The 15,510-nt window shown below is 44.1% G+C and overlaps 1 protein-coding gene across 2 annotated transcripts in view, besides 2 other annotated features; it reads left to right on the forward strand.

Moving 5' to 3' along the window:
- Positions 1,898–2,397: a silencer, noted in NCBI's record as "silent region_968". NCBI's record gives its function as "represses an Ori minimal core promoter by ATAC-STARR-seq in GM12878 lymphoblastoid cells {active_cell/tissue: GM12878}" and the evidence as "EXISTENCE:reporter gene assay evidence [ECO:0000049][PMID:35858748]".
- Positions 2,488–2,557: a silencer, noted in NCBI's record as "silent region_969". NCBI's record gives its function as "represses an Ori minimal core promoter by ATAC-STARR-seq in GM12878 lymphoblastoid cells {active_cell/tissue: GM12878}" and the evidence as "EXISTENCE:reporter gene assay evidence [ECO:0000049][PMID:35858748]".
- Positions 12,557–15,510, forward strand: part of DNAJC6 (DnaJ heat shock protein family (Hsp40) member C6) — a 151,123-nt gene continuing 148,169 nt past the window's right edge. For both annotated transcript variants that reach the window (NM_001256865.2, NM_014787.4), the window contains exon 1: positions 12,557–12,740. Coding sequence is in view for 1 of the 2 variants with exons in the window: in NM_014787.4 (NP_055602.1) it covers positions 12,719–12,740 (22 nt within the window). In the remaining variant the exon portion in view is untranslated. The remainder of the gene's footprint in view (positions 12,741–15,510) is intronic.

The following is a 15,510-nucleotide window of genomic DNA, read 5'->3' on the forward strand; positions in this document are numbered from 1 at the left end:
TCCTAAATGCCTTCGTGTGTATTTTCTTTTTAAATTTTTTTTTATATTTTTCAATTTTTAATAAGAGAGACAAAAGGTTTCACCACATTGCCCAGGCTGGTCTTGAACTCCTGAGCTCAAGCCACCTGCCCACCTCAGCCTCCAAAAGTGCTGGGATTACAGGCGAAGCCACCGTGTGGGGCTTCAGTGTGTGTTTTCTTAAAATAGGGATATTTTCTTACATAATCGCAGTGTAGTTATTAATGTCAGCAAGTTTTTTATTGATAAACATTTTTCTCTAATCTGCTACATATATATATATATATATACACATTTTTGTAAAATTAACTCAGTAATGTGCTTTAGAGCCTTAAAAAACAAAAACAAAAAACTACAAAACAGTGTCCAGTCTAGAGTCAGGTGGTATTGTATTTAGCTGCAATGTCTCTTCTGTCACCTTTTTTTTTTTTTTTTTTTGAGATGGAGTCTTGGTCTGTCTCCCAGGCTGGAGTGCAATGGCGCAATCTTGGCTCACTGTAACCTCCGCCTCCCAGGTCCAAGTGATTCTCCTGCCTCAGCCTCCCGAGTAGCTGGGATTACAGGTGCACGCCACCATGCCCAGCTAATTTTTGTATTTTTAGTAGAGACGGGGTTTCGCCATGTTGGGTCTGGAACTCCTGACCTCAGGTGATTCATCTGCCTCGGCCTTCCAAAGTGCTGGGATTACAGGTGTGAGCCACTGCATCCAGCCCAGTCACCTTGAATCTAGAATATCTCCATAGCTTTTCTTCTTATTTTATGACATTGATACTTTTGAAGAATACAGCACTTCCCTGCTCCTTTTAATAGTGGATTCCTCATTTTGGGTTTATCTGATGTTTCCCCATGATTAGCTTCATGCTGTGCATGTTTGGCCAGAATACTCCATAGATGATGTGTCTTTCTCAGCATATCACATCTGCAGGCATTCGATTTTCACCTGTCTCCACTGGTGATTTTTTTTTTTTTTTTTTTTTTTTTTTTTTTAGATAACGTGACTCTGTCAGCCAGGCTGGAGTGCAGTGGCACCTTCTCGGCTCACTGCGGCCTCTAACTCGCTGGGCACAGGTGATTCTCCCACCTCAGCCTCCTGAGTAGCTGGGACTGAAGGTGTGTGCCACCATGCCTGGCTAATTTGTGTCTGTGTGTGTGTGTGTGTGTGTGTGTGTGTGTGTATGCATTTTTGGTAGAGACGGGTTTTTGCTTTGTTGTGCAGGCTGCTCTTGAACTCCTGGGCTCAAGTGATCCGACTGCCTCAGCCGCCTGAAGTGCTGGGACTACAGGCGTGAGACACCGTGTCCGATCTCCACTGGTGATTTTAATTTTGGTCACCGATAGAAGCTCTTGTCTGATATTATTTGGGCCTACAAAAATGGCAATTTCATAATTTGACCTAACATAAAACCTTTTTACTGAGGTTTTAGATATCTAACCTGTACTCTCTGACGCTCGGTTTCCCTATCTGTTGAGTTTGGAGATTGTTTCTGCCCCACGAGTATTACTGGAGGGGTTAAATAAGATGATGTATGTAAAATCTGCCACATAAAAAGCATTCTATAAATATTAGCTATTATTATTGCAGCCAGGTCGTGTTCAAGGGCATTGGTTTTGATCTTCCTCTCAGTCTCTCCCAATTCCAAGCAAAATCTCAACAGAGACCAGTGATGGCATGGGGATGGGGTGAGGGAGCCTCACTTCTGCCATCTCAGTTTCCTCATCTGGAAAATGGGAAACGCCTCCCACACCACGGGGTTGCAATGAGGTTTCATGAAATGTGTGTAAAAGTAACTGGACATAGAACAAGTTCTTAAAAAATCATGTGGGTGACTAGTAATCTCTTGTATTAGGAAAACAGGAATATCTGTCAGAACTAAAACCACGTTCTAACGTGATGTTTCATTTTGAGGCGGTAGCACGGTGTGAGTAAACATCGTCAGAGTCTAGGGCTCTGGAATTTCTTTAGCGCTGTGTGATTGTGGGCAGATGCCTTACCCTCTCGGAGTGTGGAGTGTATGGTTTGTAACAGGGAGATAAAACGGGTGAGAGCCCCCTAGGACTCCTGTGTTAATAAAGGGTGCTAACGGTGCCCCCCGAGTGAGCGGCGCGGGCCCGCGCGCACCCGCACGCCTCGGGCGCCAGGCGCCGCCGTGTGGGCGGAGCCGGGCAGCCTCCCCTGTCGGCGCCAGCCACGGCTCCCGGCCCCAAGCTCCGCCCCCGGCGCGCATCTCCCAGCAGCGGCCCGGCACCTGGCAGACGCGCGGCGGCGGCGGCGAGCGGTGGCGCTCGGCTCGGGCGACCGCGGCGGGGGAGGGCGCGGCGCACCGATGGGCGCCACTGAGAAGGGAGGCCAGAAGAGCCGGAAGCTGTTTTCCTTGCGGCGGCCGTGGAAGGCGACCCGGCGGCTGTGGAGGCCACGCTCAGCTCGCCAGGCGGCGCAGGGTGAGTGTGGGCGCGGCCGGTCGGGACCTGTTACCCTGAGGCAGGGGCGCAGCGGCGGCGGGGCCGTCCCCGGCGGTCTCTCGGGTCGCGTTCCCGGCCCTGGGAGCCTGGATGCCTAGGCGACGCCCGAACCCGACCCTCGGTCGCGGGTACCGGGACCGCTGGGGAAGCGCAGGGGCTGATGTCGGCACAGTCTCCTTTCCTCTAGCCCCTGCTCGTTGCTTTGGCTCTGGACACAGGGAAGCCACGGTGGCGCGGCGACACAGCCTCACTGAGGTTAGCTTGTCCCCGGCCCCCAGCACCTGGCCTGGCGCCTGCAATGCAGTGCCTACTGGGGGAATGAATCAGAACCCGAGGCTCCCTTCAAGGTCCTCCCGCCCTGTACCCACCTCCTCTCTACCTGCCTGCGGTGATTTCGAAGCTCTCGCCACGATAAACTATTTCCAAGCACACTCAGTCCTGTCCTCGCCAGGGCCTCAACTCACAGCCAATCACTGACTCACTCCATTCATTCATTCCACAATTTTTATCGAGCCCCTCCATCTGCCTTGGCCGGAGAACACGATGGGCAAAGCCCGGATCTTGGAACTACTTCTAGAGAGGAAGACAGACATTACACACGCAAAACAGAGAAAGCCCGGTACACATTGCTATGTGCGCTTAGAGGGAATCAGTCTGCTGACAGAGGAAAAAAGGCAGGTCCCCGAGCTTCCATGGCAGGCGGACTGGGAAGGCCTCTCCGAGGCATTGCAAGTCAGCGGAGACCCGAGGACTGACTAGGAGTTACTCTAGCGTGAAGCCGAGTAATAGAGAATAGCAAGTGGAAAGGTTCCCAGAGTGCCTGAATTGAGCAAGGGGAAAGAGAGGGATGCAGGGCCTGGATCGAGGTCTGGGCAGAACATGAAGAGGAGTTCGGATTTTATTCTACGTGAGCTGGGAAAACACTGAAGTGTGCTAAGCAGGGAAGTGACCTGATCTGGGGGCTCCCGGCTTTTCTCTGTCTGCAGTGTCCATGCTCGCATCTCAGCCTGCCGGATTCCTACCCTCCTGCCAAGACTAGCACAAATGCAGTCTCCTCGCTGAAATCTCTGTGGTTCCTGCCACCTGTAACCCCTCCTTTAGCATTTCGTCACCTGTAGAGCGTTTGTCACTGTTCATCTGGTATTAAAGATTCCACATTCTCATCCATTTCATCTTTGCATCCCCCACGAGGCTAAGTGCAGGGCTTGGTACTGTGTAGATACTGCTTATGAATGTGTCTTGTCTTGTCCTTTTTGTCTGTTTCCATCATCTGAGGATCCTTCCTCTGGGGGGTTGACATGCCTTATTTCTAAAATGGCCGACCGGATGCAGGGCAGAGCCAGATTGCACCAGGACCCTGCCATCGATATAGTCCCCCTCACCCACCCCCGGTGTTTTGAGGATTAAATAAATTAATGAATTAAACGAGTTAGTAGTTATAAAGTGTTAGCACCTATTAAGCATTATAAAAATAAATTTGAAAATGACCAGCAATAATTATCTTTCAAATATTTATTTATTGCATTGGAAACAAGCTTTTCTATTGGTGGTTGTTAGGGAGACTCTGCAGCTTGTCATTGTCATCTTGCCGGCTTTTAAGTATGTGTTCCTACTTTTTAAAAGTCAGTGCACCAACAAAATTCTTTCCATACTGTCATCAAGAACTATTGCTGAGGCCGGGCGCAGTGGCTCACCCCTGTAATCCCAGCACTTTGGGAGGCCAGGCGGACGGATCACTTAAGGTCAGGAGTTCGAGCCCAGCCTGGCCAAGGTGGTGAAACCCCGTCTCTACTAAAAATACAAAAATTAGCTGGGCGTGGTGGCATACACCTGTAGTTCCAGCTACCTGGGAGGCTGAGGCAGGAGAATCGCTTGAACCCAAGAGGCAGAGGCTGCAGTGAGCTGAGATTGCACCACTGCACTCCAGCCTGGGCCACAGAGTGAGATTCTGTCTCAGACAAACAAACAAAAAGAACTATTGCTGAAACTTAATAGGGCCGAAGGCTGACCACTTTTTATCATGAGCTTGAATGAGATCGATGATTGCAACAAGTATTCCTTGAGTGATAATTACATGCATAGTGTTATTCCAGATGTTGTGTGAATGCTTACAAAAGAGGAATAGATGAATATTGCCACTGTAGTAACTTGGATTAGAATAAGTGTTCTAGTTTTATAATTTTTATTTTAATTTTTAAAATCTTTAAAGTTCCGGGATACACATGTAGGATGTTCAGGTTTGTTACATAGGTAAAGGTGTGCCTTGGTGGTTTGCTGCACCTATCAGCCCATCACTTAGGTATTAAGCCCAGCATGCATTAGCTATTTTTCCTGATGCCCTCCCTCCCCTGCCCTCACCACCACGGGCCCCATTGTGTGTTGGTTCCCTCCCTGTGTCCTTGTGTTCTCATTGTTCAGCTCCCACTTATAAGTGAGAACAACTGGTGTTTGGTTTTCTGTTCCTGCATTAGTTTTATAATTTTTAAAACCAGATCTTTAGTGCCTATACAACCATCTCCGCTTCTGCGTTCCTGACCTAGCGTTTACTCACAGCTTCCCAGGGCTCATTGCCATCCCACACCTCTCTTTTCTTAGATAGGATCTTGGCTGCTCACTACATTCCTCTACTATCTATCTTCCCCTTCCCCCATAAGCCCTGGGGATAAAGCCATTATAATATCTAATGTTACATGATACTTGACATCTTATAGAATAGTTCAACTACAGGATTTTGTTTAGATCTTGACAATACTCCTGGAAGGAGAGAGGGCAGATGTTATGTATTTCCCCCATTTTATATATAAGGGAAGGTGAAACAAGCGGCACTAAGTGATATGCTGGAGGTCATGTGACTGGTGAGTGTCAGACTCAGGCCTGCCTACCTATACAACATGCTTTCTGCCACATCTCCCTCCACACATGAAAAAACATGTTTCAATAGCTATACTCATGGAAGAGGGAAGTAAAACGAATAAATATTATGCAATAAATCTATATCTCAATTTTATTTGATTTTTTAAAGTTAACCTGAATTTCTTATGATGATGTTAACATCACTTTGGGCATCTAGAATCATACACTTTGACATCACACAGGCTATGATTTAAATCTGCCACTAATAAATGGCACATTAATAAACTGTGTGATATCAGACAGCATCCTTAGTCTTTCAAAAATGGAGTTATATATTATCTGAAAAATGAGGATGACAATTCCTATGTCATGTAACTGTGATGATTAAATGCATTTCTGGTACATAGAGGTTCACAAAGGGCTGGTTATTTTTAAATTAATATTAGGTTTACTATTGTATGTATTAATATTAATAAAACAAAACCTAATATGGTTGAAAATCTAGACTATTCTTAGAAAATAGTCTAGAAAACCTAGAAAAGTCTAGAAATTATTAGCAAACCATAATATTAATATGGCTGAAAATCTGGACTACTATTAGTATACTATTGTTAGTATAGAATAATAATAGTCTAGATTTTCATAAGAGTCCAGACTACTATTAGTCTAGATTAATGCTTAGTCTAGATTTCAACCATATGATCACACTCAAAATATGTTTAAAAGTTCAGTGTGCTCTGGGAAGCAACCACAGCTGGAGGCTTCTTTGAGGAAGTTAACCCTTCTGGGTCAACCAGAAGGTCTTCTGCAGCAGCATCCATCTTTCTACCACCTTCTTCTTTTTCATCAGGAGGCTGCAGGGGAGAAGGAACATAGCTTCTAGGGACTCCTGTCATCTTTTCATGCTAACACTGTGTCCTGAACATAGCAGACATTCAATAAATATGTCTGGAATGAAAGATTCCTTTCATTTATATATATTTCCAAAGAGAATGACTCTGAAATTTACACTGTGAACATTTGTCACTAAAAATATAGCATAAATATCTAGAAGGACAATTACTGCATCAAAGTGTATATATATATATATAGTTTTGATTTTGAGAGATATTGCCAAGTTGACCTTTGTACATTTGTGCTAATTCAGTTTCTGCCAACAGTGTGTAAGCTCCCCGATTCCTTACTGAATATGGTCAGACTTTTAAATGCTTGCTAATTTGATGGGTATGAAATGATATTCCATGTTGTTTTATATTGAATTTTCTTGATGAATAATGAAGCTGAGTATCTTTTCACATGAATATTGGCCATTCTTGTGTGAACCTTTGTGAAAGGCCTATTGATGTCTTTCTCATTTCTTTAACTTGGGTTTTTTTTTTTTCTATCCATTTTAGGAACTCTTTAAATATTCTGGATATGAATTATTTGTTGGTTTAGAGGTCTAAACAACTTTTAAAAATGTACTTAATCATGCCAGTAGTTCTAAATGGGAATATGAACAAGCTGTGCTGAGTTGAAATTAACCCTCCAAATGCTTCCGTCCATTCCAGAGAACCATATTTTACTCAAATATCAAAGTCCGTAGGTTACAGAAAAGGGAGCAAATGACAAAAGCATTTTATGAGCAGTAGACTTCTCTAGCCCTTGAATTATGGTAGATAACTGGCCTTGAGTTCCTGCCACCAGAAATTCCCTCCTCTAAACCCTGTGGTGGTTGAGGAGCCCTTTCCTGAGCTGTGGTATTCTCTGGGAAGACACAGGTTGGAACTAGAGTCAGTTTCCATCAGTAGATAGTATTTTGCAGAACAATTTACTTGGAGAAGAAAGAGGACAGAATTTCTGTCACGTCGATCAGTGGTTTATTCTCTCACTGCCATTGTCTAGCCATATGTCCCTAAAAATAAGCCACATTGAATGGATGTAATGATCCCTACCCAGCCTATTCCTAAGGATATTAGAGAGATCAAATGAGACCATAAAAATGAAAGGGCTGTGTAAATACAAGGTTTGTTAGCCAGGCTCTGGGAAGTAACCAACACTTTGTCAGAGTGGGAAAACCTCACTGACCCACAATCTTTGGGTCTGTGGCTCTGGCCCTTCTCCTACCACCTGTTCTGCATACAGGTGCATGATTGTAGAGAGCTGTGCTTCTCCAAGGTTGGTCTCCAGACCAGCAGCATGAGAGCAGCAGCATCAGCATCACTCAGGACCTTGTTAGAAATGCAAATTCTAGGCCCCCATCTCAGAGCTACCAGATCACAAACTGAGGGGTGGGAGGATGGGGAGGGATAGGAGGCTGGAACCTGGAAATGTGTTTTAATAAACTCTGCAGTAATTCTGACACATGCTAAAGGTTGAGAACCACTGACTTAGTAGGATGAGCAAGGGTTTTACAGCCAGCAAATGTGGGTTTAAATCTCAACTCTCCTACTTGCCAACTTGTGACATGTAAATTACTAGACCGTCTTGGGTTTCCAACCTCTCACCACTAAAAGGAAGACCGAGTGTGGTGTAGCAGGTGAAGCCACTCTCCTTCCTTCCCATTTCCTTTACAGGACTGTGTGAGAAATAAATGACATGACGATTCTGGACTCTGCTGTGTTTAGCTGTGTGTCTCCTTTGGCAAGTCTCCTTGCCTCTCTGCCTCATTTTTCTCATCTGACAAAACAAATGGCAAGAGTTAATGTGTGCATTGCTTTTGTCACACTATGTGCCAGCCACTGTCTTAAAGAGTATGTGATTTTATTTTATTCTTACAATAAACCTGTTTTACAGCTTTCATTTTACACATAAGAAAAACTGAAGCAGAGAGAGGTTAAGTAACATTTCCAAAGTTATACAACTAGTAAGTTGGGATTCAAACCCGGGAGGTCTGCTGTGAGTCCTTGCATTAAAGACAATGCTTGCCAAGTAATAAGTTCTCAAAAAATGGATGATGATGATGATGATAAGAAAATAGCCTGGCATATAGTAGGTACTCCATATAAGCCATGCTGCCCTCTTCTGTGGCTAGCCCTAATCCTAAACATCTATCCCCTCCCCGCAGTAAGCACATTTTCTTTTTCCTTCTCACCTCTTTTCTGGCCATTTGGGTGCTCTGAGCAAGCCAGACAGAGGCTTGGCTGGATGCAGAAAGACCAAATGTGGTGTTGCAGGTGAAGCCACTCTTTGGGAATGAATGACTAAGCTAGCAGAAGCTCTAGACAAGTTATTGAAAGATCATTTCATCTGCCTAATTTGGAATATATATTCTGGGTCTCTGCTTACCTATCAACTAATCAAGAATTAAAATGCCTCAAAAGTTCCAAGGGAGTGTAAAAGCTTTTTTTTTTGGTGCCCAGTTTTTCCTCAGAGTAAAATTTGCAGCTGGGAAAGTTTAATCCACAGTATGACAGCAGTGTTTTTTTCCTTTCATTTTTGTTTTTTTGCTCAGACAATAAAAAGCCTTATTCCCTTTCAATTCAGGGTTTCACTCGTTGTTCTTGAAAATTCCCTTCAGTTTAGCTCTCAAGATGGCCTTGCTTGCTGAGCATGAGTCACTGGTTTAGTGACTCAGAGTGGCATCTAACAAGACAAGGATGTGCAGGGTTGTCAAGGGACTTAGTGGCCAGTGGAGCCTGCCTGAAGCTTTTCCTAAACCCAGTTTTTGAGATAGAGCATCTTTTCCATTAGCGGCTGTTCCTAATCATCCTCAGTACCAGTTTATCTGAAGCTTGGGGTCTGACAGAGACATTGCCTTGTTGTGGAAAGCTCTAGAATCCATCCTTGTCCTTAACTGGATGTGGCCTTGAGATTTACTGTGTGACAGGACAAGACTTCTGAGAGTTCACCCAGCTCTGCTTGGAACGGCCGCAGAATCAGGAGGCCTGTGCTTCTGGAAATATGGTGTCAGGAGGGAAAATAAAGCCTCTTTTTATTTGATGAGGCCTTCAAACCTCTTTCAACTTTAGGAGAAAAAAGATCAATTAAAGTTGGATAGAGAAACAGACACATGTGATGAAGCAAATATACCCAAATATACTTGGATATGGGGCCCACTGTACAATTCTTTCAACTTTTTGATATGTTTGAAACTTTTCAAAATATAATGTTTGGTACAATGCAGATACCCCTAGAAATGACTACACTTTTGAAAACATTATTCCTTTTGCAATATAAATGGGTGTTTTCCTTCCCTTCTCCCACTTCTTTTCTACTCCTAGCATTGGTCTTTTTAAAATTTTGGTCTAGGGAGCCTTCTTGATTAAAAAGGGCCTGGAATAGTTAGAAAGAATGAATAAGACCTAGTACTTGATAGCACAACAAGGTGACTAGAGTCAATAATAATTTAATTGTACATGTTAAAATAACTGAAAGAGTATAATTGGATTGTTTGTAACACAAAGGATAAATGCTTGAGGGGATGGATACTCCATATTCCATGATGTGATTATTATACATTGCATGCCTGTATCAACATTTCTCATATACCTCATAAATATATACACCTACTATGTACCCACAAAAATTAAAAATAAAAAAATTTTAAAAAGGGCCGGAGTGAGGGTGGTTGGTGATTGGCTATTCCTTTATGCCAAAGACTTCATATTCTTCTTCATATGTAATTCTCACAATAATCCTACAAACTAGTTATTAATTTCTGTATTTTATGAGGAAACTGAAGCTTAGGGGAATAAACTTGACCCAGTTACAAGGTAATACTACTCATCTTACAGCATTTATGGAGCCCTTACTTGATGTGTCAGGCTTTGTGTTATGAACCTTAAACCTATTAACTTGTTTGAGCCTCACCAAGCTGTGGAAGGTGGGTACCATTATTACCTCCATCCTGCAGATCAGGAAATGGAAACTTAAGAGAGGCGCAGCAACTTGTCTCAGCTTATATTCCAGGGGCTGGTACATGGCAGGGCCCATGTTTGAATCCATTCTCTTTATTTATTTTTTGAGGCAGGGTCTTGGTCTGTCACCCAGGGTCTTTCTTGCTCTATTGCCCATGGCTCACTGCAGCCTTGACCTACCAGACTCAAGCATCCTCCCATCTCAGCCTCCCAAGTAGCTGGACCACAGGCTCATGCCACCATGCCCAGCTAACTAAAAAAAAAAATTTTCATAGAGACAGGGTCTCACTATGTTGACCAGGCTGGTTTTGAACTCCTGGCCTCAAGCGATCCTACCACCTTGGCCTCCTAAAGTGCTGGGATTACAGGCGTCAGCCACCTCTCCCAGTCCTCTTCTGCTTTAGAGCTCTTGCCCTACTATTCAAATCCACGCTTTGGCATTTCTTTGCCTACTTTGGTAAATTGGCATATCTAGTGGAAGCCTCTTGACCTGAGGCCACAGGCTCCTGAGGACAGAGAATGTTTTGTTCAGCACCGTGTCATTCCTAGTGTTCATAGCAGTGCCTGGCACCATGAATATTATTGAATAAAAGAGTGCATGAATGATGGCTTCTCACCACCTACTCCCTCACCTTCTCAGCCCCCCAAAGTGCTCCTCTTGGGCACATTTTGGCTATCCTGGACTTGGTCCTTGGAGATAAAGATGCCGGTTTCTCTGATGTGGTTTAGCCAATGTCGCATTTGGTGGCCAGTAAGGAGTTGTAATGAAGGCAGATTTTCCTTATTGGTCTTAAGCTGTCAAAGACAGCAGAAAGATATTATCCACTGCCAAGGAAAGATGGGAACCAAAAACAAATACTTAAAGTTTCCCAAAACTTTCAAGGAATCTTCCAGCTGTGGCAACAAGAAGTCCTTAGTAGCCATGAAAGCTCTCACATTATAGCTATGTTTGACTCTTGGGTTGAAGTAATGAACAGGTGAACACTGACAATTAGTCCTCTTAAATGTGCCCAAGCAGTTGGTAATTATACCCTGCATTTATTTAGTGTTTTGTTTACAAAATTCTGTTCTCCCTTTTGATGATATGAACAGCCCAGTACATATATAGGACAGCTATGATTATTCCCACTTTACAGATGAGAAAACTGATGCCAGAGAGGTTCTGTCATTTGCCCTACACTACGCAGCTAATAAAAGGTAGAGACAGTAGAGACAGGTCTTCAACCCTTTTAATGCCTAGTCCAGGAAATTTTTAATATCAATATTGCATTTAACTCAGTAATTTCTGAGGATGAGTAACAGGAAGATGTATTCCTTTCTGTTGCTCTTCTTCCAATTTAGTTAGGTTATGTATTTGAGTCAGTTAGTCTTTCTGGATACCAGTTTGCTAATCTGTATCATGGGGAATAAACACCATCCATCAGTGAGTATGCATGAAGCAGAGGAGACTGGGAGGGTTCAGAACTTAAAAAACAATTTCTGAGTGAAGCTGTTTGGAAGAGACTGTGATGACTCTTACCTATTATCCATAAAACAAATTAAATGGCACCTCCCTTGGCAACCCTACCTAAAATGGCACCCCTGTTACCTCATTACCATGTTTCATTTTTCTTCACAGCATTTATTGCCATTTATTATATGTCTATATTACCTGTCTGAATCCTCCCACCAGAGTGCAATAACCAAGAAGGCAGGGACCTGAAACCCTAAGAGGTGGAATAGTGCCTGGCACAAATAACCACGTGTTGAATAAATGATTGAATTAATGAATGAATCTGAGCTGTGGAATGATTCAAAGTAAGTTTGAATTGAATGACTGAAAGATTTACTTGAATCCTCCTTGCTCCCCAACAGAGGGGTGTTATGGTTTGGCATCCTCATACATATTCCTAGTCTGCCACTCAATGGCTTACAACCAGTCACTAAAGCCTCCTTGAGTATCAACTTAGGCCTGGGTGAAATGGGTTCAATAACCTGTGTCCATGCAGCAGACACAGCCCATTATATTGCCCTGTATGCCTCTGTACTGTAACAGCCTGTGAGCAGCGTGAGGACCGAGGGCTGGTCCTGTGCACTGTTGTATCCCCAGTACTTAGCATACAGCCTGGTCCACAGAGAGGTAAAATAAATGTTGAATGAATGAATGAAAGTACAGGGCTCTGAATCCTCCTCCAAAGCTGACTTACCATCTGAAAATAAACCTGGTGCATGGCACAGACATTCCCCTTTCAATTCAGAGATGAGGAGGCGCTAAACAGTTGGTTCCCTATCCTGAGGGAAGGAAAGGCAAGCCTCGGCTCCAGATCCGGTTCCATGCCATGTTTTGGAATTTGTGTTTACGTCTGCCTTCATCCCCATCCTTTCCGCTCCAGCATAAGCAAAATTATAACCCCGCACACCGACTTGCATGCAATTATCATAGCCCGAGTGCTCCTCCGTTGAGAGACTTCGCCCCCGAGACCGCTGACTGTGAATGACAAATCAAAAGTCAGGGTTGCAGAATCAGCCGGACTTTCCTGCTCATTTGCAGCAGAGGGAGGAAGCAGAGAATGAAAGATTCTGAAAATAAAGGTAAGGGGCGGACTGCAGAAAGATGGCTAAGAGAGGGCTAAAGGCTAAAAGATGCTAGGGATGCGATGTCACTCCACAGACATATTTAGTTTGTATTAATGGCTAGTTTAAAATTACCATACCTATATTAACATTCTAGTTATATAATAAACATGATGACTTTAAAAAATGACTAGCTTCTAGTTTCCAAATATTGTGTCATTCAGCTTTCCATTTTTATAGTCCTAAATATAACCCTATTTTTGCATTCTTAATCTTGGCTGAGTAACACAGCTTTCATAGATTTCCTTAGACTAGCTCCCAGATTTTTGATAATTTTATTTTGGGGGTGTTCACAATAGTTAATAATGAATATACAGGTTTTCAATGCATTATGAGAATTGGAATATCTGAAATAATTGGGACTTAAAACAGTTTGGGTTCTGAAGGCAAACGCTGACGGAGAATCCTTTAATGAACATTAATCTTTTTAGAAGCGCTCCATGGGGAGCCGTCGCTGACCTTCAGAACTGTTTATCTTGCAAAGAAATGCTGGGATGTAAACTACCCCCACTCCATCAGCCTCCACACCTTACCTCCCCCTCACCTCCCAACACTCTAATTCTGTTAGAGGGATGGGGGAAGAGAGAAACGAATTTAAATAAAAACTCAAAAAAGGAAAGGGCTAACCGAAAAATGAGCCAACCAAATTTTAAGTTCAACAACAAGCATTCTGGAGGATTCTGGGGTTTTAAATTCGGAGGCTCCTTAAATATTCTGCCGCAGTTGGGGGAGGAGCGATGGACCCCTAGGTCTCCGGAGGCTACACGTGTTCCCCGATCCCGTTTCCAGGGGGAGCCCTTCCTTCCTATTGCGCTGGTCGTGCTCCTGGCCCGCGTGCCCAGGAAGGGCGCAGCGGAGTCGCGTGCCCGTCCGGGCGGAGGACGCCGTCTCCGCGCGGCGGTGCCGGGCCCCTGCTTCCGGAACGCTAATTTTAGGGTTCGCCGGCCCCCCTTTCTTTTCACCCGCTTTCCGTGCGAGCCGCTGCGCAGCAGTCTGCGCTTCGAGTGCGCTGTGTTTTAAGGAGGCCCCGGCGCTTGCCCCTTGGGCTCGGGGGCTTGGGTGCGCAGGTGGGGGCTGGCACGCAGCCCGTTGGGCAGGTTTCGCGCAGCGACCCTCCCCACGCCGGAGCTAAGTTCTTTGGGTGAGACGTGCAACAACGCAGGCCCCAAAGCTCTCTGCGCGCAGCGCCGCGGGGCTTGGCCTTCTCCAGTCCTCGGGAGTCAGCCACCGTCTCTGGCTTGTTATAGGATTCCCACCTCGTGGTGGGCAATGATATATACATATTCAACATTAGAAAAAGAAGGAAAAAAAAACCCCACTCACAATCTAATGCCAATGGAGAGAATGGTATTTTAATCTACGAAACTGTAATGAAGGCTCTTAAACAATCCCACTTTCCATAATTGAGGCTTTCAAAAGGGCCAGGTAGCTGGTGGTGTTTGTATTAACATCTCATAGGCTCTGGATCATTCACAGCCACGTATTGATCTATGTGGTTTTGACGTTTAAATTTTAATGAAGCAGCCTTAGTGGGGAAGAAAACAGCTATGCATGTGCCTGGTAAGGGGGAAGAGGACCTGTTCACTCCTGTTTCTAAGCCAGCATCTTAAGAGTAGGTATTACCTGTGTGTGAAATCAAAGTATTTTAAAATTAACTCTAGGAAGAATGTTGGATTTTCCTGTGTTGTTTTCAGTGGTTGGAGAAAGGGTTTCTGGAGAGAAAAAAAAAATTGCTTATTTGCCAAGTCATGCTAGGCCATGGACATGATTTAGAAAAAAAATTAAAGCTGCTTGAATTGGAGGCCCAGGTTAAGGTTAATATTCAACATTGTTTGAAATGGAAACACTCCTGGTTTCTCAGTGTATCAGTGTGTTTTAAGCTCAGATCCCCAGCCTTTTTCTAAGGAGAGTTGGTATTTAGAATTTTTTTTTTTTTTTTTGAGATGGAGTCACGCCCTGTCGCCCAGGTTGGAGTGCAATGGTGCGATCTCGGCCCACTGCAACCTCTGCCTCCCAGGTTCAAGCGATTCTCCTGCCTCAGCCTCCCGAGTAGCTGGGATTACAGGCCCATGCCACCACGCCCGGTTAATTTTTGTATTTTTAGTAGAGATGGGGTTTCACCATCTTGGCCAGGCTGGTCTCGAACTCCTGACCTCAGGTGATCCACCCGCCTCGGCCTCCCAAAGTGCTGGAGTTACAGGTATGAGCCACCGTGCCTGGCCGGTATTTAGAATTTTTGTTTTACTTTGTACTGGGAAGAGCCTTGGGTTGGGAGTCAAGATTGGTAGGCTCTGGCTTGTTCAGTTATAACTCATTTGTGACCTAGGACAGGACTCTATTTCTTTGGGTCTCAGTTTCTTTATCGCTAAAATGGAGAGCTATTAGACTAGATTCCTGTTTTTCAGATTGTGAGTGGTGAGAAAGCAACTTAGTGAGTCTTAGGCAACATTTTAGATCGATGAAATAGAACAGAAACTGTCAGAAATCATTGCACATAGCAGAGGTAACTACTGTTTCCTGAAACTTCTGTTATAGATATTTATCTTTATGCATGTGGGTATAAGCCGTATTCTGACATCACATCGGTTTTTTTTTTTCCTGTGAGTTTCAGTCAAAGAAGTTTGAGGAACACTGAAATAAATCATAGCTCAGTAATGGTTTTCAAGGAGTCTGTGAAATGCAGCTTTATATGCATATATATACAGACAGAGAGAGAGAGAAAGAGAGA

The sequence above is a fragment of the Homo sapiens genome, chromosome 1 (genome assembly GCF_000001405.40).
Source record: "Homo sapiens chromosome 1, GRCh38.p14 Primary Assembly".
In the NCBI taxonomy this organism is placed as follows: Eukaryota; Metazoa; Chordata; class Mammalia; order Primates; family Hominidae; genus Homo; species Homo sapiens.